Source organism: Homo sapiens, chromosome 2, assembly GCF_000001405.40.
Source record: "Homo sapiens chromosome 2, GRCh38.p14 Primary Assembly".
Taxonomy (NCBI): Eukaryota; Metazoa; Chordata; class Mammalia; order Primates; family Hominidae; genus Homo; species Homo sapiens.
In genome coordinates this window covers 89,919,559-89,938,098 of record NC_000002.12, presented here as the reverse complement: position 1 = coordinate 89,938,098, position 18,540 = coordinate 89,919,559, and the positions used below count along the sequence as shown (strand labels likewise).

The 18,540-nt window shown below is 42.0% G+C and overlaps 2 pseudogenes, 1 gene segment (V, D, J or C) and 1 further gene, besides 7 other annotated features; all 4 read right to left on the bottom strand.

Moving 5' to 3' along the window:
• The window catches only part of IGK (immunoglobulin kappa locus), a 1,378,008-nt gene that overhangs the window by 297,270 nt on the left and 1,062,198 nt on the right, over positions 1 to 18,540 (bottom strand).
• On the bottom strand, positions 420 to 1,205 carry IGKV2D-30 (immunoglobulin kappa variable 2D-30). The segment is given in 2 exon segments: positions 420 to 730; positions 1,157 to 1,205. Coding segments are annotated over 2 exon segments (360 nt in total), but the record flags the coding sequence as incomplete, so codon positions are not given.
• Positions 720 to 730: a sequence feature (IGKV2D-30 leader sequence).
• Positions 1,157 to 1,205: a sequence feature (IGKV2D-30 leader sequence).
• Positions 1,370 to 1,459: an enhancer, noted in NCBI's record as "active region_16179". NCBI's record gives its function as "activates an Ori minimal core promoter by ATAC-STARR-seq in GM12878 lymphoblastoid cells {active_cell/tissue: GM12878}" and the evidence as "EXISTENCE:reporter gene assay evidence [ECO:0000049][PMID:35858748]".
• On the bottom strand, positions 7,860 to 8,397 carry IGKV3D-31 (immunoglobulin kappa variable 3D-31 (pseudogene); annotated as a pseudogene). Its single transcript is given in 2 exon segments — positions 7,860 to 8,153; positions 8,349 to 8,397. Coding segments are annotated over 2 exon segments (343 nt in total).
• Positions 8,143 to 8,153: a sequence feature (IGKV3D-31 leader sequence).
• Positions 8,349 to 8,397: a sequence feature (IGKV3D-31 leader sequence).
• Positions 9,203 to 9,677, bottom strand: IGKV1D-32 (immunoglobulin kappa variable 1D-32 (pseudogene); annotated as a pseudogene). Its single transcript is given in 2 exon segments — positions 9,203 to 9,504; positions 9,623 to 9,677. Coding segments are annotated over 2 exon segments (357 nt in total).
• Positions 9,494 to 9,504: a sequence feature (IGKV1D-32 leader sequence).
• Positions 9,623 to 9,677: a sequence feature (IGKV1D-32 leader sequence).

Below are 18,540 nucleotides of genomic sequence, written 5' to 3'. Positions count from 1 at the left end.
CTAAACCCAAAGATGTATCCCACATGGATAGTCACAATCTGTGTCAATGGCCTGGCTGCTCTGCTGATTACATTTAATTAACAAATGGACACAAGGTAGGGAGAGTTAGGGTGAGCTTTCATTCTCCTCTCCCTTCCATCTTGCTTGTTTACTCACAGGGCACTTGGACCCCTCATTCTCCTGCTGCTTATGACAGTCAAGGTGGTGGCAACTGGCAGGGCATAAAGGAGTGGTGCCTGAGGTGTGACTGGGCTCTCAAAGTCCAGAGTCCTCAGCTGTGAATTGTTCCCTGGTTCTCCAGCATCTTCCTCTTACACAGATTCTGAGACCCTGCTGAGCTGCTCCCCAGACAAGCACCACATGTGGGCAGCTGGGCCACCCCACAGGGAGGTTTTTGTTCAGGGCTGTACCACTGTGGGAGGCCAGTGTGTACCTTGCATGCAGTAATAAACCCCAACATCCTCAGCCTCCACCCTGCTGATTTTCAGTGTGAAATCAGTGCCTGACCCACTGCCGCTGAATCTGTCTGGGACCCCAGAGTCCCAGTTAGAAACCTTATAAATTAGGCGCCTTGGAGATTGGCCTGGCCTCTGCTGAAACCAATTCAAGTAGGTGTTTCCATCACTGTATACGAGGCTTTGACTAGACCTGCAGGAGATGGAGGCCGGCTGTCCAAGGGTGACGGGCAGGGAGAGTGGAGACTGAGTCATCACAACATCCCCACTGGATCCTGAAATAAATAGAAAGAAGAGCAAGGTTATGTATAAAGTTTATGTGTAATTTTCATAAATTTTGATTTGTTGTTTATCTCAGGCTATATATGTATTTGTTCATATTTCAAAAATATACAGTTTCAAAATGGAACTCAAGGGATCCAAGGCTCAAAGGGGTCTCCAGAAGACCCCACACCATCCCCTTTCTGTGTCAGTCTTCCCCAGAGCACAGATCCTTGTTTCTTCTTGAATCTTCCTGACTCTCACAGATCTGATCATCACATGCCCCATTCTGGAGGACAACATGTGCATGTCCAATACAGGAAAGGAACACACATAGGAGTGTAGTGAGACCCCCAGAGATCACTGTTGTTAGAGGCAGTGGGGCCCCAGAACTCACCGTTCCATGCCATTCTCCTCCCTCATCTCCCTTCTACCCTTACCTGGGACCCAGAGCATTAGCAGCCCCAGGAGCTGAGCAGGGAGCCTCATTGTGAGAAGGTGAACTGAGGAGTCCTGATCAGTCAAGGCAAGGTTAGAGCTGAGCTTTTATCTCAGACTCACAAGGAAAGTCTTCACCAAGGGATAATATGCAAATCACCTGGTGGGTGTAGTGGGGTGGAAAGAGCCAAGGGGAGGGTAGGAGCCTCTGTTGTGAGCAAAATGACTTAAATATCTTCTCTGTTTGGAGGGAAATGAGTAGGCATATAATCTATGCTGTCTATGTGGGAGAAATTTAAGTATTTCCTTCTGTCTTCCCTAACAGATTTCTTGTTTCATAGCACTTTCCCAGGCACATTTTATACTTCTTGTTAATAAGGCCATGTTTCCACAAATATTTACTAATTCTTATGTTTTTGTTCATTTTTGTTTAAAAGAGTTCAGATTTGGCCCTTTCAATTTTTTAAAAATTTAAATAAAACACACACAAAGTAAAAGACAGAAATGTTAAAAAGTGCAACCGAATAAAGTTTTACATATATTCTCCACCGAGATTAAACTGTAGAATACTGCAGAATCTCCAGATTCTTCCCTCATGTACCTACCTTTCAGGAAACAGCTGTTCCCCCCATCCCAATCAAGGAAACTGGCATTCTGACATCTGTCCAAATAGATTGGCTTTCCCTACATGAAACCTCATATAAACGGAAGTAAACATGTTGGTTTGGTCTAGCTCTTTTTTTGTTCCCTTAGCACTTTTGAGGCCTTCCTTCCTCCCTACAGATTCAAGTTACTGTCTGCTGTCATTTTTTGTGAATCTGAAGAACTTCCTAGAGAATTTGTTATACAGCATGTCTTTAAGTAATTATTTCTCTTCATTTTTGTTTATCAAGAAATGTTTTTACTTTACTTTTATTTTGAATGCATACTTTCACTGGATATTGAATCCTAGGTTTTGTTTTCTTTTGTTTCCCAGCATTTACATATGTCATTCCACTGTTTTCTAGCCTCCTTTGGTCATGATGAAAAGTTAGCTGATGGCTTTATCACTGTATTTCTGTATATAGAGAGTCATTTTATTTTTGTACATTTGCGATTTCCTCCTTGTCATTGGTTCAGCATTTTAATTATAATATGTATAGTTATGTGTATCATTGTGTTTGTCCTGAATAAGTTCTTTCAATTTCTTTTCTCTATAGATGAATGAGTTTCATTGCTTCTTGAAAGCTTTTGTCATCCCTCCAAAATTTTTTTGGCCACTTTTTCTGACTTCTCGTTTCTGACTCATTGCATATTTCTGGTCTTCTTCACATTGACTTGTAAACCTCTAAGGTCATGATTATTTTTCTTTAGTCGTTTTCTTTCTTTTTCAGATTAGATCATTTCTACTAAATTGTCTTCAGGCTCATTGATGCTTCTGCCAACTTAAACTCCTGTTGCCCTATCTAGTGAATTTTCCATACTGCTTTTTATAGTTTTCATCTAGAATTCCTATTTGTTCCTTTCCCATAGTTTCCCTTTCTCTGTTGAGAGTTCTCATTCTTTGAGTAATTGTCTTTATATTTTCCTTTTTCAGTCCTTGCTCATAGTTTTGAATATTCTTTGAAGCATTTATGTGACAACCACTTAAAACTCTTAGCAAAATCCAGTATTTAGGAACAGTCAAGAGTCAGCTTCCACTGACTGATTTATCTCAATATGGTTTATGATTTTCTCTTTCTTTTCAGGAATTTTAATGGAAAAATGCCGGTTGATAATATATTTTTTACGTCTCACAAATAATATATAATTCTGCATTCTGTTTTATTTTTCTAAGATTGTTGAATTTCCTCTTAATAGCTTGACTGGTCTTATGCTGCAGAATCTATCCCTTACTAGCTGTTTGGCAATTGATATTTCTGATTTTTTTCATTTTAAGTTTTAGCCAGAAGCCCTACCTGTGTCTGCACAGTTTGGTAATCACCAGTAACTTAGGCATTTGTGTTGCTCAAACTCCTTGACCTCAATAATCTACTTTCTGCCAATGTATATGTGTGTGGCTTGAAGCGTGCCCATAAAAGACACCTCCTTCACTTTTATTCACTGGGCCCACTTGGGTCTCTGTCACTCAAATACGCAATTTCTAAGTCACATCTGCTCATTCTAAGAATGTGTGCAGGGATGATCTCTATAATTCTATGACTCCATGGTTTCCAGTAATCCATTATCAAGTTTTAGCTGGTGTACCAGTCTCCCAGGGTCATCACCTTGGACTTGCAAAACTCTGGGCCTTTTCTGGGCATTTCCTGCAGAGTTCAGCACCATTAGCTGAAAACACTGAAGGATCTTGTTCTACTCTCCATCCCAGCTCAAGTCAATCCCGTTTGGCAACAAGCTTCCAGTTGTTGCTGCCATTTCAGCTGGTAAAACTACAGTTCTAAAATTCTTGTTGACGAAGCTTGGGTGAGAAAAAGCAGTTCCAGGCAAAAGGCCATAGACTTTTCCTATCTGTTAGTCCAAGGTGCACCATTTTGTAAGCCCCCCTTCCATTTTGTAGACCTTGGTCAAAGTGAAGCATTCCACGGGGGTTAGAACTGTGAGAAACATCCTGCCTAACCACGTGAATACAGGAACATCCCTATCGTCTTCTGCTGGACAGTGGGCCCAAGAAACATTCTTATCACACCCCGCTGGGCAAAAGGCCCAAGGAACATCCTTGGCAAAACCGCCTGACCACAGGAACATGTTATCAACGTCCTGCCGGGCAGCAAGTAATACCGTCTAGACCCCTCCCGCCCATACCTATAAGTACCCCAGCCTGTAAGCGGCAGCGGGTTCTGGTATTAAGCTAGTCCCCCACCTCCACAGTCTTGTGCTGGACATAAAACCTGCTTTGCTGTAGAGCCGCCAACTCTCTCTCTGTCTTTCTTTAACCCTTCCCTTCCCTTCAAAACCTAACACTGTCCTTACCCAAAGCTCTCATCCTTTTCAAGATACAGCCATATCTCCTTTTATTGTGTTTTGCTTTACTGTGCTTTATAGATACTGAGATTTTTACCAATTGAAGGTTTGTGGCAACTCTGCCTCAGGTAACTATTTTGGTGCCGTTTTTCCAGTGGTAGGTTCTTACTTCCTGTCTCTATGTCAGTATTGCTCAGCAATAGTTTTAAAAAATTAAGGTATGTACATTTTTTAGGCATAATACTATTGTACATTTAACCGAATACAAGATTGTGTCAACATAACTTTTATATGCACTGGAAAACCAAAAAATGAGTGTGACTCCCTTTATGATAATATTCATTTTATTGCAGTGATTGGAAACTAGACCAGCAATATCTCTGAGGTATGCCTATAAACATGTCTCAATTTCTTTGATGTCTTTGGCAATTTCCAGAACAGCCACAGTGACGAGGTCTGGAGCGAGGGTGCACTTGCAGTGACAGTGGGTCTGGGGCTGGGCATGGGCTAGTCCACATAAAGGTGGCTTACTGTCTGAGTTGCCAGGGCAGGGTGAGACCTGGAGGCCTGGGTCTGGGGCAGTGCAGAGGGTAAGGTTGATGCCAAGGGGCTGGGAGGTAGCCCTGTCACAGGAGAGAAAACAATGGCTCCTCACTGCGGAGTGCGTATAGCAGCATCTCCCTCTCTGGGGAGTGTGCGACTATGGCTGCAGGTAACCGTCCAGGCAAAAGCACCAGTGGCCCCTGTGGAGCAGGCTGCTGTGATCCTCGACAAGAAATATTAAAGGGCCTCCACTGGGAAAGCTGAATGGTGGGGGATTGCCTGGGTGGCTGCTGAGGTTATCAGCAGCAAAGGCTGCAGGGTCCTGCCACAGAGCAGGCTATGGGGCCCACAGTGGCACCACCTCTGGCTGATAACAATTGCTTCCCCTTTCTTTGTTCCTAGAGGTATCAGGGCTCTCAGGTGTGCCATCAGCTTCCAGCCATCCTTTGCATGTGCTTATTCTTGGCTTTTTACTCTATCATGTTGCTGCATGTTTGTAATTGAACTCTTCAGCCCTCCCAGGGTATTGGCCTTCTTGGATAACTGACTAATTGCTGGGTTTTGTGAGGGCTGAAGCCTGGTATCTCTTACTCTGCTATCTTGCTAACATCAGTCCCCAGGACATCATTTTGGTGATGATATTTTGAATTTTGCCCTGACACTATTATGGAATAATACTTAGACTTGATGGGGTGAGAATTAGAGCATTTAACATGTAAGAGGGATATGAATTGTTTGGGCCACAGGGTTGACTGATGCCAGTTATATCCTTCAAGATGGCTGTCACAAGGCCTACCATTCTACAGGTTCCTCTAAAAGTGTGATCTCTGGGTGGGGTTTCCACGATGCCATATGCCTATCTCCCCCCACAGTTAATCAGAATTCTGAATCTCATATTCTTTATAATTTGACTTTCCTCTCTGTTAATTTCTTCTATATGTATTCATCAAATAATATTTTTAATTTATTTGTTTAAAACCCTATAAGAAGGAATTCATACAAATAAAACCTAATTCATGAATCTTTGTCTTTGTGCCTAGTGCTTTGTGTGTTCTCTTTAAGAAATTTATTTCTGCACCTGTTTATGATATATGTTTTTATGCTCTTTACTAAAAGCTTTATTATTTTGCCTTCATATTTCATTTTATGATTCATTTAGAGTTGATATTTATATAATATAGAGGTGAAATGTAGAGGTCAGGATTCATTTTGATGTAATATAGATATCTTATTGATCCAATACAGTTCACTTATTATATATTTTTCTACTGATCACTGCTCTGGTCTGAATGTCTGCATCTCATCCAAGATTCCTGTTTACCCCATGCAACAGGATTACAAAGTGGGGCCTTTGGGAGCTGATTATTCATGAGGATTCCACCCCGGTGAATGGGATGAACGCCCAATAAAAGTGGCTTCACACAGAATTTGTCTCTTTTGCCCTTCCACCTCCACAACGTGAGGACACAGCCACAAGCCACCATCTTGGAAGCTGGAGCAGCCCTCATGGTACAAAAAGATTGCCAGTGCCTTGACCTTGGACTTCCCAGCCTTCAGAACTGTGAGAAAGTACATGTCTCTTGTTTTAAATTACCTGACCAAGATATTTTTCTCTTTCAGTATGCATCATCTATGGTAACAGTGTTTTTTTCTTTTTTTTTTTTTTTTTTTTTTGAGACGGAGTCTCTGTCACCCAGGCTAGAGTGCAGTGGTGCGATCTTGGCTCACTGCAATCTCTGCCTCCCAGGTTAAAGTGATTCTTCTGCCTCAGCCTCCTGAGTAGCTGGGATTACAGGCATGTGCCACCATGCCTGGCTAATTTTTGTGCTTTTAGTAGAGACGGGGTTTCACCACGCTGGTCAGACTGGTCTCGAACTCCTGACCTCGTTATCTGCCCACCTCAGCCTCCCAAAGTGCTGGGATTACAGGCATGAGTCACTGTGCCTGGCCCGTGGTAACACTTTTATCATAAATTGGGTGATTACATATGTGCGGATCTGTAGTTACATTATTAATTAGTGTTATTTGTAACAGGGTTTGATATTGCCTGGTGTTATTCCTTCAATTTTGTTCTTTTTTTTTTTTTTTTTTTTTTGAGACAGTCTTGCTCTGTCACCCAGACTGGAGTTCAGTGCTATGATCTTGGCTCATTTGCAACCTCTGCCCCCTGGGTTCAAGCGATTCTCCTGTCTCAGCCTCCTAAGCAGCTGGGACTACAGGAATGTGCAACCATGCCTGGCTAATTTTTTGTATTTTTTTAGTAGAGTCAAGGTTTCACCATGTTGGCCAGGGTGGTCTAACTCCTGACCTCAAGCGATACACTTGCCTCAGCCTCTCAAAGTACTGGGATTATAGGCGTGAGACACCATGCCTGCCCTGTTATTCTTTTTTTGTTTTGTTTTGTTGTTGTTTTTTGTTTTTGTTTTTTTGAGATAGATTCTGGCTCTGTTCCCCAGGCTGGAGTGCAATGGTGCGATCTCAGCTCACTGCAACCTCCACCACCCAGGTTCAAATGATTCTCCTGCCTCAGCCTCCTGAGTAGCTGGGATTACAGGCATGTGCCACCACACCTGACTAATTTTGTATTTTTAGTAGAGATGGGGTTTCTCCATGTTGGTCAGGCTAGTCTCAACCTCCTGACCTCAGGTGACCTGCCCACCTCAGCCTCCCAAATTACTGGGATTACAGGAGTGATCCACCACGCCCAGCCTGACCTGTTATTCTTATGCAAGATTCCAATGGCTATTTTTGTCCTTTTTAAATGCATGTGTGATATGTATGTATCTATATATATACACACACACTCTCTATATATATATTATACACATACATATCACTATATATATACATACACCATATATAGTGTGTGTGTATATATATATATATATAGTGTGTGGTATGTGAGTACATATATATATATATATATATATATATATATATATATATACTATATATATATGAAACATCATTTCAATTTCACAAAAGTCCTCTGGGATTTTAATTGTCACTGTATTGAATTAATTAAGGGAGAATTATGTTACTCACAATATTAAGTTTTATAATGCATGAATGTGGTATAAACTTCTATTTATTGAAGTCTCCATTGTTTTCTCTCAATAACTAAGCAGCCACCATAGTAGCTTCCCATAAGTAAACAGAAGGCTTGAGGAAAAAACACCAGCTGTCTTGTGGAGGTTTGGTTTCCTGTGGAATCACTGTGGAATACCCACCACTATGCTGATAACAGTGTTAAAGTGCAAAATCTTCATGCTCCAGCCTGCTGATAATGAGACTGAAGTTTTCCCCGAACCCACTGCCACTCCACCAGGCTGGGACATTGGTGGTCCTGGTGGATGCACCATGGATGAGGAGCCTGAGAGCCTGTCCAGGTTTCCACTGATACCCTGCTAAGGAGCTGCTAATAGTCTACTTGGCTCTGTAGGTGAGGGTGGCTTTTTCCCCTAGAGATAAAGACAGGGAGGCTGGAGACTGTCATCACAAGTTCTCTGGTGGTATCTGAAATTGGAATAAAAACAGAAATGTCACACATGTACACTACATCATACCTATTGTCTTCCCAGTGCATCCAGGACCATTGATCTACATTGAGCTTTAATCATTGTGCCTTCCCAGCAGGTGTGCCAGGTAACAGGACTCAACAAGGTTGAGAAAGTTTCACTGACATGCAGAACCATCCGATGTTTCCTGCACCTGGGAGCCAGAGTAACAAGAATCAGAGCAGCTGAGCTGCAGCTTCCATGGTTCCCTCTGGGTCCTAACTGAGCTGCTCTTTCACAGACCTACCCCCATGGATTGATATGGGCTCTGGACAGCAGGGTGGCTGGGAGAGACATGCATAACAGCCACAGATGGCGCTGGGCTTCGAAACTGCAGAGACCACCTGCCTGGTTCAAATGATTCTCCTGCCTCAGCCTTCTGAGTAGCTAGGATTACAGGCACCCACCACTATGCCCGGCTAATTTTTGTATTTTTAGTAGAGACGGGGTTTCACCATGTTGGCCAGGCTGGTCTTGAACTCCTGATCTCAGGTGATCCGCCTGCCTCGGCCTCCCAAAGTGCTGGGATTACAGGCCTGAACCACCGTGCGCGGCCACCATTGCTTCTTGAAGTAGATTTCCCAGCACTCCTTTTGCCTTTCTGGTTTCCTAACCATTATATCCTCTGGTCTTTGAAAAGTTGTAATTTAGACATGGATTTCCCATATTAGGAAAAACTTTCTATTTGGGTTACCTACAATAGCTTCTCTTTTGTTGTATGAACCTGGACCAGTGCTGTAACCCAGAGTCCTCATAGGTAATGACTCTTCTATGAAATTAGGAGAGGCATTGCCATGTCTGCTGCTGGGGCTGAGGAGGATAAAAGAAACTAAGGGTGTAGAGACACTTCCCTTACCGCTTCTATGAAAACTGCTCAGTGACCTTCAGAGTGTGGCTGAGTCTGAGAAACACTCTCAGCAGATGGAGGAAACAGGAGAAGCAGCTGGGGCAGCCCACCCTCACATATCTGCTTCCTTGGGGAGCTTATTGGGTTTGTAACACTGTGAGAGGGTCACTTTTATACTGTTGACCAATAATAAGAAGTTGCAGCAACTTCAGACTGGAGGATGCTAATGGTGAGAATCAAATCTGTCCTGGATCCAATGCCACATAACTGCAATGGGACCCAGGTTTGCAAATTGGATGCATCGTAGATCAGGAGCTCAGAAGCTTTCCCTGGCTTCTCTTTGTATCAGGCTAAAACATGGCTAATGCCCTACCTGACTTTCCTGGCATGTGATGGTGACTCTCACCTAGACAGGAAGACAGCGAGGATGGAGACTGGGTCATCTGCATGTCATATCTGGCACCTGAGATGGGAAACAAAACTATTAACACTATTAACCATGTTATGAGAGGACTTTCCTGAATAGCCAGGTAGTACTGACCACACTGGCTCAGTAAATTCCTAGTGTTCTCCTTCCTTGCCTGAGAGTCAGAGCAGCAGGAGCCCCAGGAGCTGAGCAGGGACCCTCATGTCCATGCTGTGTCTTGACTGGGACTGACTCTTGCAAGTGGTATGACCAGCCTGTGTACAAGTCTTCAGGAAGTTGGCTGTGTTTTTTTGAAAATGAAAATTTCAACAGATGCAAGAATGACTTTATCTGCATAATATTGCACAGGCCTAGTGTCCCCCAGGGGTCCTAAGATTGATCAGGCCTGCATACACTTGTTAGCAGAGAACAAGTTTCTCTCTGGGGGCCACAGAACAGAATCTGTCTACTGTCCTGCAAGGAGATTGCTTTTCTGCTCTGCAGAAGTAGGTCATGACCTACTTTTCTTGCTAGCTTCCCGTCTAAGACCTGGCTTGTTGGAGAAGCACATCTCCAGAATCTGCAATAAATTTTAGAAGTGTCCTGCGTTTGGTACTGATGAATATTATTGAGGCCACAGAGACTTCTTCTTTGCTCTGATCCTCTAGAGCCCTTGATGTTGTAAATCATCAGCACTATCAGCCAGAGATGCAATGATGAGGTATAAGAAAGATGGATGGATACATAGATGGATGGATAGAAGGACAGATTTATTTATTAAAAATAAGAAAAAGGAAAATGTTAACACAAAATATGTGAAAGTAGTGTAATGCTTTGCAAGGATTGGGTAATCCTTGTACACTGGGTAAACGACATGGCAAATCTCTTATCTCAGACATGTGATCATCTTCCTGTATTTCTACATTTTCTTTCCTACTTCTTACATCTAGGCCAACATCAGAAATCTTCTCCCTCCACTTCTGAAAAGTGTCAGCTACTCTCTACCTCTGTGTGCCATCATGCATTCCTATGCTAGATGTTTCCTGAGCTCCTTGGATTAATATGTGTGCCTTACGTCATTCTTAAGCTAATATCTTCCGGAAACTGAGATGTTATCTAGACCCAGTGCTCACATCTACTCTTGAATCTACTCTGTTCCATAAACTGTATATCTCTATATTACCAATCTCTTCCAGTTTTTAAGAGAAAGCAGTTCTTAATGACTGGGTTTAGGGCATTTGACCAAAGTAGGTTCAGAAAGAAAACCATGCACCAAAATGAAGGGGAAACCAAAATATTGCACAGAGTGTGAAACCCACATGGCATGGAAAGGGCAGTTGATGTGCAGTAGAGAGGGAAGACCACCAGAGGTGTTGAAGCTATAGTGGAGGGAGGAGGGTATCCCCACATAGGCGCAGGATGTGGGGCAACATCCTCCCACTAGCACATATGTCACAGCTGAAGCAGGATGAGCAGGGCCCTTCAAAAGGGGTAAAGCCAGTGGTACTAGCAAAACGGCCCATGTAGATTGAGAAGGTCACCCATGCAGGAGTCAAAGTTAACAGTGAGCTGGCAAAGCATATCAGGGCTAATGCAGGTTGTGAGGCAGAAGAGGGAAGTTGTCTAAAAGGAGCGTGTAGGTGGCAATGACAGCAGGAGATTAGTGTCACAAAGAGATGTTGATCCCATAAGTCAGTGTAGTAAGGATAATTAGAGCCAAGGTACCCAGGGAGAAATGTTAGAAATATTTTAAAAGCGCGTACTAGAATAAACTCTATGACTCTGGATTATAGCTATATCAGTGCCAATTCATGGTTTATGTAGATATAGGTAAAAAGATAGATGAATAGATGATGATGATAGATAGACAAATGATAGATAATAGATAGCTCATTTTCTCTAGAAGCGATGACACATCAGTCCCACTGAACACATTTAGTGTGTAGATCTTATTTTTCTGAATGCCGATTTCTACTAAAAGGAATCAGTAATCTTTGGAGAAATGGCTGATGTCAGGTCTAAAATAGGGGAGATGGAAGATGAGCTTGTACCATCTAGTGCCAGAAACTAAAAAAGTGCTCAGAGAATGATGGGATAAAAACAGCAGGTATTCAGAGGCAGTGTGAATGAGGCTCCCATTGGACAAATCAGAGGAGGGTTGACTATGAAAATAAATGATGATGGTAGCAGAGTATAACCCATTGAAGAAAATATGGATCCATGTCTATATTTCGATTAGGAGAGGGATATTCATGAAGTATCAAGAACATCTCCACAAATTCTTATCTCTTTCAAACAGAACAACAGTGAAGGTGCAGGGAGAAGCCTGGCAGACACCCCCTTCAGCAGGAGTCAGACTGAACCTCGTCAGTCATGTGGCAGATGGAAATCACACACATCCCAATAGGATTCAGTGAGAGCACAGTATCGCTTCTGGATATTCCCGCAACAGTTACACTAACAGAGTTCAATCCTGAAGAAAATTCAAACAAATTTAAATTGACAATCTACATGGTAACTGGTGTGTAATCTTCAAAAGCAATGTGTTCATAAAGTCCAAACAAGGACACTGGAACTGTTCTAGATGGAAGAAAACTACGGAGGTACAGGCCAGCAAAGGCAACCCGTGAATCATTTTGTTACAAAAGACATTATTGGAACAATTAACAAAAGTTGAAATACACTTGAGGATTAGATGGAGTGATGCACCAGTGATGATTCCCTGGTTCCACAGATGTATTGGGTTATGTAGGAAAATGTCTTGTCTGAAGGAAATACATAGCAAAGTCTTAAAGGGTGGAACTATGAGGTCATCAAGTTACTCTCAATGGTTTAGGGGGAAATGTGTTACTTTGTACTCTACTTACAAACTTTCTGTAAATGTGAAATTGTTTCAATATTTTAAAAATAAAAATGGCAGCTCTTAAGAGCATACCCAAGCTATTCTAAGGTATTTTGTGATGGCACTGAGCCACACCTGTTACAACCATAAGACATGGAAATTTACTGTAGACGCACAAAGATAACACTGTGCTTTCTCAAAGGTGTGTAGTTCACAGACAAATTATTATCTGAAGACACAGGTCTCTTTAGTATCCATCAACTAAATGGGCATCCTATTCTTGGTTTGGGGACCTACATAGTCTACCCCTCACGACAAATGTAACTTGTTTGTTTTGTTTTGTTTGAGACTGGGTCCTGCTCTGTCCCCTACACTGGAGTGCAGTGGCAAGATCACAGCTTACTCCAACCTCAACCCCTTGGGCTTAAACAATCCTCTTGTCTCAGCCTCCCCAGTAGCTAGAACCACAGGCGTGTGCCACGGCATCTGGCTAATTTTTTCATTTCTTGTGGAGATGGGGTCTCACTATGTTGCCTAGGTTAGTCTCAAATTCCTGGGCTCAAGTAATCCTCCAGTCTCAGCCTTTCAAATGCTGGCATTATAGGTGTGAGCCACTGTGCCTAGACCCATGTAACTTTATTTCTCTCAGCTCATCAGCATGAAAGTTCTGACTGAGGATGCCAAACCTGATTATCAAAAAAACAAAAATCAAATCAAATACAGTTTCTTTCATCAACCAAATAGGATAGCTGTGAAACTGAAGCCTGAATTAGGATAAATGTACAACCTTAAATACCCCAGAACCACTCAGGATCAATTCTCTTCAAAGTAGGATGAAGACAAGATCACATCACCTGGGGAATTGCTCCGAGTTTCACGGAAGACACAGAGGAAGGGAGGATGAGGCTGGAGACAAAGCTAGCTCTGCTGCGAACTCATCAAGGCCAGGGAGCCCTCAACAGCCTGCTGGATCATAAAGGAGCCCTGTCAACACTGACAGAGCATCTTGGTTGGAGGTCTCCAATCTTGTATTTCAATGGAGCTATTGAGTGTCTCAGTAATAATGCATCAATCAAAGCTACATGCACACTCAACATGAGGGACCTCTTGCTCTGGGCCCCAGAAGTGAAGGGCCCTCACCAGGCTCTCCTCCCCTCCAGTCTTTCACAGAGAGAGACTGAGACTGTGCTAATATAGAGCCAATTTTCTTCTACATCACACCCTGATACTTGGGGTCCTGAAACTACCAATTCAAATGTTCTAACCCTAACTTCCAGGGACTTGGCCCCTTCTCTGGGCTCGTTCCTCTGAGAGTAGCTACGCAGTAGGCGTTCCCCGCTCAGACACAAAGTGAGGCCAGGTTTCTGCTGCTGGGAGGCGGGATGGCATGTGAATGTGTGTGAAGTGTCTGTATATGTGTTCAGGAGAACTTGTGTGGTGTGGAAAAAGCAAGAGATGGGGTAATGGCAGTAAAGTCCCAATTGCAACCCTAAAGCACGACCTGCTATCCTCACACTACCAGGTGCTGGTGAAGAACCTTGAGGAGCGAAAAATATTTAAATTCAGACGTAGGCTTCCAGATATTCAACCTGTAGCCAAAAGAGATTAGAATGGACTAGGTTTACACTCCTCTCTGGATTAACTAAAACACAGGACACAATACATGAGGCAAATGTTTTCAAGAAATTGGACATTAGAAATTAAGGATATTGAGCCCAGAAGATTTTAAACCAAAGGAGATGAAATTTGGAACGATCCATCTGAGACCCTGAGGAGAGTTGCCAGAGCATTGTGTAGTGAAAGGAAATCCATGAGGTGCCTGGGAGTGTCCCTGAAGAGAGGAAAAAGAATTGGAGGTCCAGAAAGACAGAGAAACAGAGGAGGGAGTTCAGAGAGAGCCCAGGCTATCCCCAGATGCCTCCCTCAGTATTCCACAGAGCACTGATGAGTACATGCACGTGGAGACCCTACCTAAGGCTGCAGAAAGACTGGCTGAAGGATTACAGGAAGATTCCTCAGTCTCCTCTTTTCATGTCATGAGACACTGCAGATGACTGAGAACCCGGTGGCTCCCCTGAGCTTATTTGTCATGCACTTTTGATGACATGAAGGTTATTCATGTTGGCCTTCTCTAGTAGATTCACCTGGAAAGCATTAAATTTAGCAGGAAAAAAGGGGGCAACCATGCCCTCAATGTGGAGTGGTCATTAGTATTGGTTACAAATGTGAACTGCACTAAGCATAAAGGGATTCATTATGGGATATTAAATAGCTCAAAAATTGTTGGAAAGCCTTAACAACAGGCTCCAGGCAAAACCTCTGGAACAATCTCACAAACTGTACTGCCGATTCAGGCTGCGGAGGAGTCCTTACTGCCTGAGACCCCATATTCAGACTGCCTCCTGCAGAGAAGACAGCTGTTCCTCTCACTACGGCCCACAGAAGGACAGCATCCCTGCCAGCAGCTACCAGAGATCTGACTCCTATCCTGCAGCTCTCCCTGTGTTGATAATATCCCTAAATTCAGTCCCGTTCACATTCATCGTTTTTCATGACTACATATCTTTTTCTATCTCCATCCACCCTTGTGGCTTGACATCACCAATACACACTTTCCCACACTTGAATTCCTTTTTCACACATTAAAAGCAATGTATTAACACCTAACATATTGCAAACGTTGTCTTTACAAGTAACATCAGGATCACTTCTACCTAAAGAATGGGGACACCCAAGACTGAACCAGGAAGAAGTTGAATCCCTGAATAGACCAATAACAAGTTCTGAAATCGAGGCAGTAATAAAAAGCCTATCAACTAAAAAAAAGCCCAGGACCAGATGGATTTACAGTTCAATTCTACCAGAGGTACAAAGAGGAGCTGGTACCACTCCTTCTGAAACAATTCCAAACACTTGAAAAGGAGAGACTCCTGTCTAACTTATTTTAAGAGGCCAGAATCATCTTGATACCAAAACCTGGCAGAGATTAAAAAAAAAAAAAAAAAAAGGAGAAAACCTTCAGGCCAATATCCCTAATGAACATTGATGCAAAAATCCTCAATAAAATACTGGCAAACCATATCCAGCCACACATCAAAAGGTTTATCCACCACGATGAAGTTGGCTTCATCCCCGGATGCAAGGCTGGTTCAATATACACATAATTCATCACATAAAGGGAACTAGAGACAAAACCCACATGATTATCTCAGTAGATGGAGAAAAGGTCTTCGATAAAATTCAACATCACTTCATTTCAATAAACTACGTATTGAAGAAATATACTTCAAAATAATAAGAGCCATTTATGACAAACCCACAGTCAATATCATACTGAATGGACAAAAGCTGGAAGCATTCCCCTTGAAAACCATTACAAGACAAGGATACCCCTCTGTCACCACTCTTATTCAACATAGTATTGGAAGTTCTGACCAGGGCAATCAGGGAAGAGAAAGAAATAAAGGGTATTCGAATAGGAAGAGAGAAATTCAAATTATCTTTGTTTGCAGATGACATGATTCTGTATCTAGAAAATGCCATTGACTCAGCCCAAAAGCTTCTTAAGCTGATAACTTCAGCAAAGCCTCTGAATACAAAATCAATGTGCACAATTGACAAGCATCTACACACCAACGACAGACAAATAGCCAAATTAAGAATGAACTCCTATTCACAATTGCAACAAAGAGAATAAAATACCTAGGATAACAGCTAACGAGGAAAGTGAAAGACCTCTTCAAGGAGAATTACAAACCACTGTTCAAGAAAATCAGAGAGGACACAAACAGATAGAAAAACATTCCATGCTGGTGGATAGGAAGAATCAATATCGCAAAAATGGCCACACTCCCCAAAGCAATTTATAGATTCAATCCTATTCCCAATAAACTACCATGACATTCGTCACAGAATTAGAAGAAACAATTTGGCCGGGCGTGGTGGCTCACGTCTGTAGTCCCAGCACTTTGGGAGGCCAAGGCGGGCGGATCACGAGATCAGGAGATCGAGACCATCCTGGCTAATACGGTGAAAGCCCATCTCTACTAAAAATACAAAAAATGAGCCAGGAGTGGTGGCAGGCACCTATATTTCCAGCTACCCGGGAGGCTGAGGCAGGAGAATGGCGTGAACCCAGGAGGCGGAGCTTGCAGTGGGCCGAGATGGCACCACTGCACTCCAGCCTGGGTGACAAGGCGAGACTCCGTCAAAAAAAAAAAAAAAAAATTAAAAATTCATATAGAACCAACAAAGGTTGTGTAGCCAGGACAAGCCTAAGCAAAAAGAACAAAACTGGAGACATCATACTACTCAACTTCAAACTATGCTACAAGGATACACTAAGCAAAACAACATGCTACCGGTACAAAAACAGACACAGAGACCAACGGAACAGAATAGAGAATTCAGAAATAAAACCACACATCTACAGCCATCTGATCTTCAACAAACCTGATAAAAAGAACAAAAACAAAAACAAAAACAAAAACACAAGCAATGAGGGAAGCACTCCCTATTTAATAAATGGTGCAGGGAGAATTGGCTAGCCATATGCAGAAAATTGAAACTGGACCCCTTCCTTATGCCTTATACAAAAATGAAGGCAAGATGGATTAAAGACTTAATATAAAACCCCAAACTATTAAAACCCAAACTACTTAAAGTATAATTAAAAAAAAAAAACAAAGAAAACCCACCAAACTACAAAAATCTAGGCAATACCATTTAGGACATAGACACAGGAAGAGATTTTATGACAAAAATGCCTACAGCATTTGCAACAAAGCAAAAATTGGCAAATGAGATCTAATTAAACTAAAGAGCCTCTGAACAGCAAAAGAAACTATCATCATAGTGAACAGACGACCTACAGAATGGGAGAAAATTTTTGCAATTTATTCATCTGACAAAGTTATAATATCCAGAATTTACAAGAAATTTAAACAAATTTACAAAAATAAAAATAAAAAAAATTAAAAGGTGGGCAAAGGACATGAACAGGCGCTTCTCAAAAGAAGACATACATGCGGCCAAGAAACATGAAAAAAGCTCAACATCAATGATCATCAGGGAAATGCAAACCAAAATCACAATGAGACACCATATCACTCCAGTCAGAATGGTGATTATTAAAAAATGAAGAAACAACAGATGCTGTCGAGGTTGCAGGGAAATAGAAACACTTCTAAACTGTTGGTGGGAATGTAAATTAGTTCAACCATTCTGGAAGACAGTGTGGCGATTACTCAAAGATTTAGAACTGGAAATACCATTTGACTCAGCAGTCACATTACTGGGTATATACCCAAAGGAATATAAATCATTCTACTATAAAGATACATGCATGTGTATGTTCATTGCAGCACTATTCACAATAGCAAAGACATGGAATCAACCCATATGCCCATCAATGATAGAATGGATAAATAAAATGTTTTATATATACACCATGGAATACTATGCAGCCATAAAAAGGAATGAGATCATGTCCTTTGCAGGGACGTGGTTGAAACTAGAAACCACTATCCTCAGAAAACTAACACAGGAACAGGAAACCAGACACCAGATGTTCTCACTTAGAGGTGGAGCTGAACAGTGAGCACACATGGACACAAGGAGGGGAACGACACACACTGGGGCCTTTCAGGGGAGGGTGGGTAGGAGAAGAGCACCAGGAAAAATAGCTAATGGATGCTGGGCTTAATACCTAGGTGATGGGTTGATAGGTGCAGCAAATCACCATAGCACCTGTTTACCAATGTAACAAACCTGCACATCCTGCACATGTATCCTGGAACATAAAATAAAATGAATGGCAAAATCCAAAAACCTTCAGTCCAGAATCCAGCATTCCTCATGGGTCACAAATTTAACCTAAGGTCTAAATTACAAAGGAGACCAGACAACAACACTTTATAAAACTTTAAAGAAAATGGTGACTGTAAAAAGAAAATTTTTCAACAAAATGTATGCATGCCTCACATGATGTTTTGATATCTGTTTTATTAAAATTCTTCCATCCTCTGAGTACTGTCTGTAACCTAGGGTCTAGAAGGGCCAAAATACATTTCCTTGGCACTGTGATAATTTTGTATATGTGCTTGTAGCTTGTGTGTATGTGAGTATATACACACATATGTGGTCATACAACTTTGTTAAAACATAACTGTTTATATAAGTTTATGCAGAAAGCAATGTCTAAATATATATGCAAATGTATATATCATATATAAAAAGATAAATGCACATAT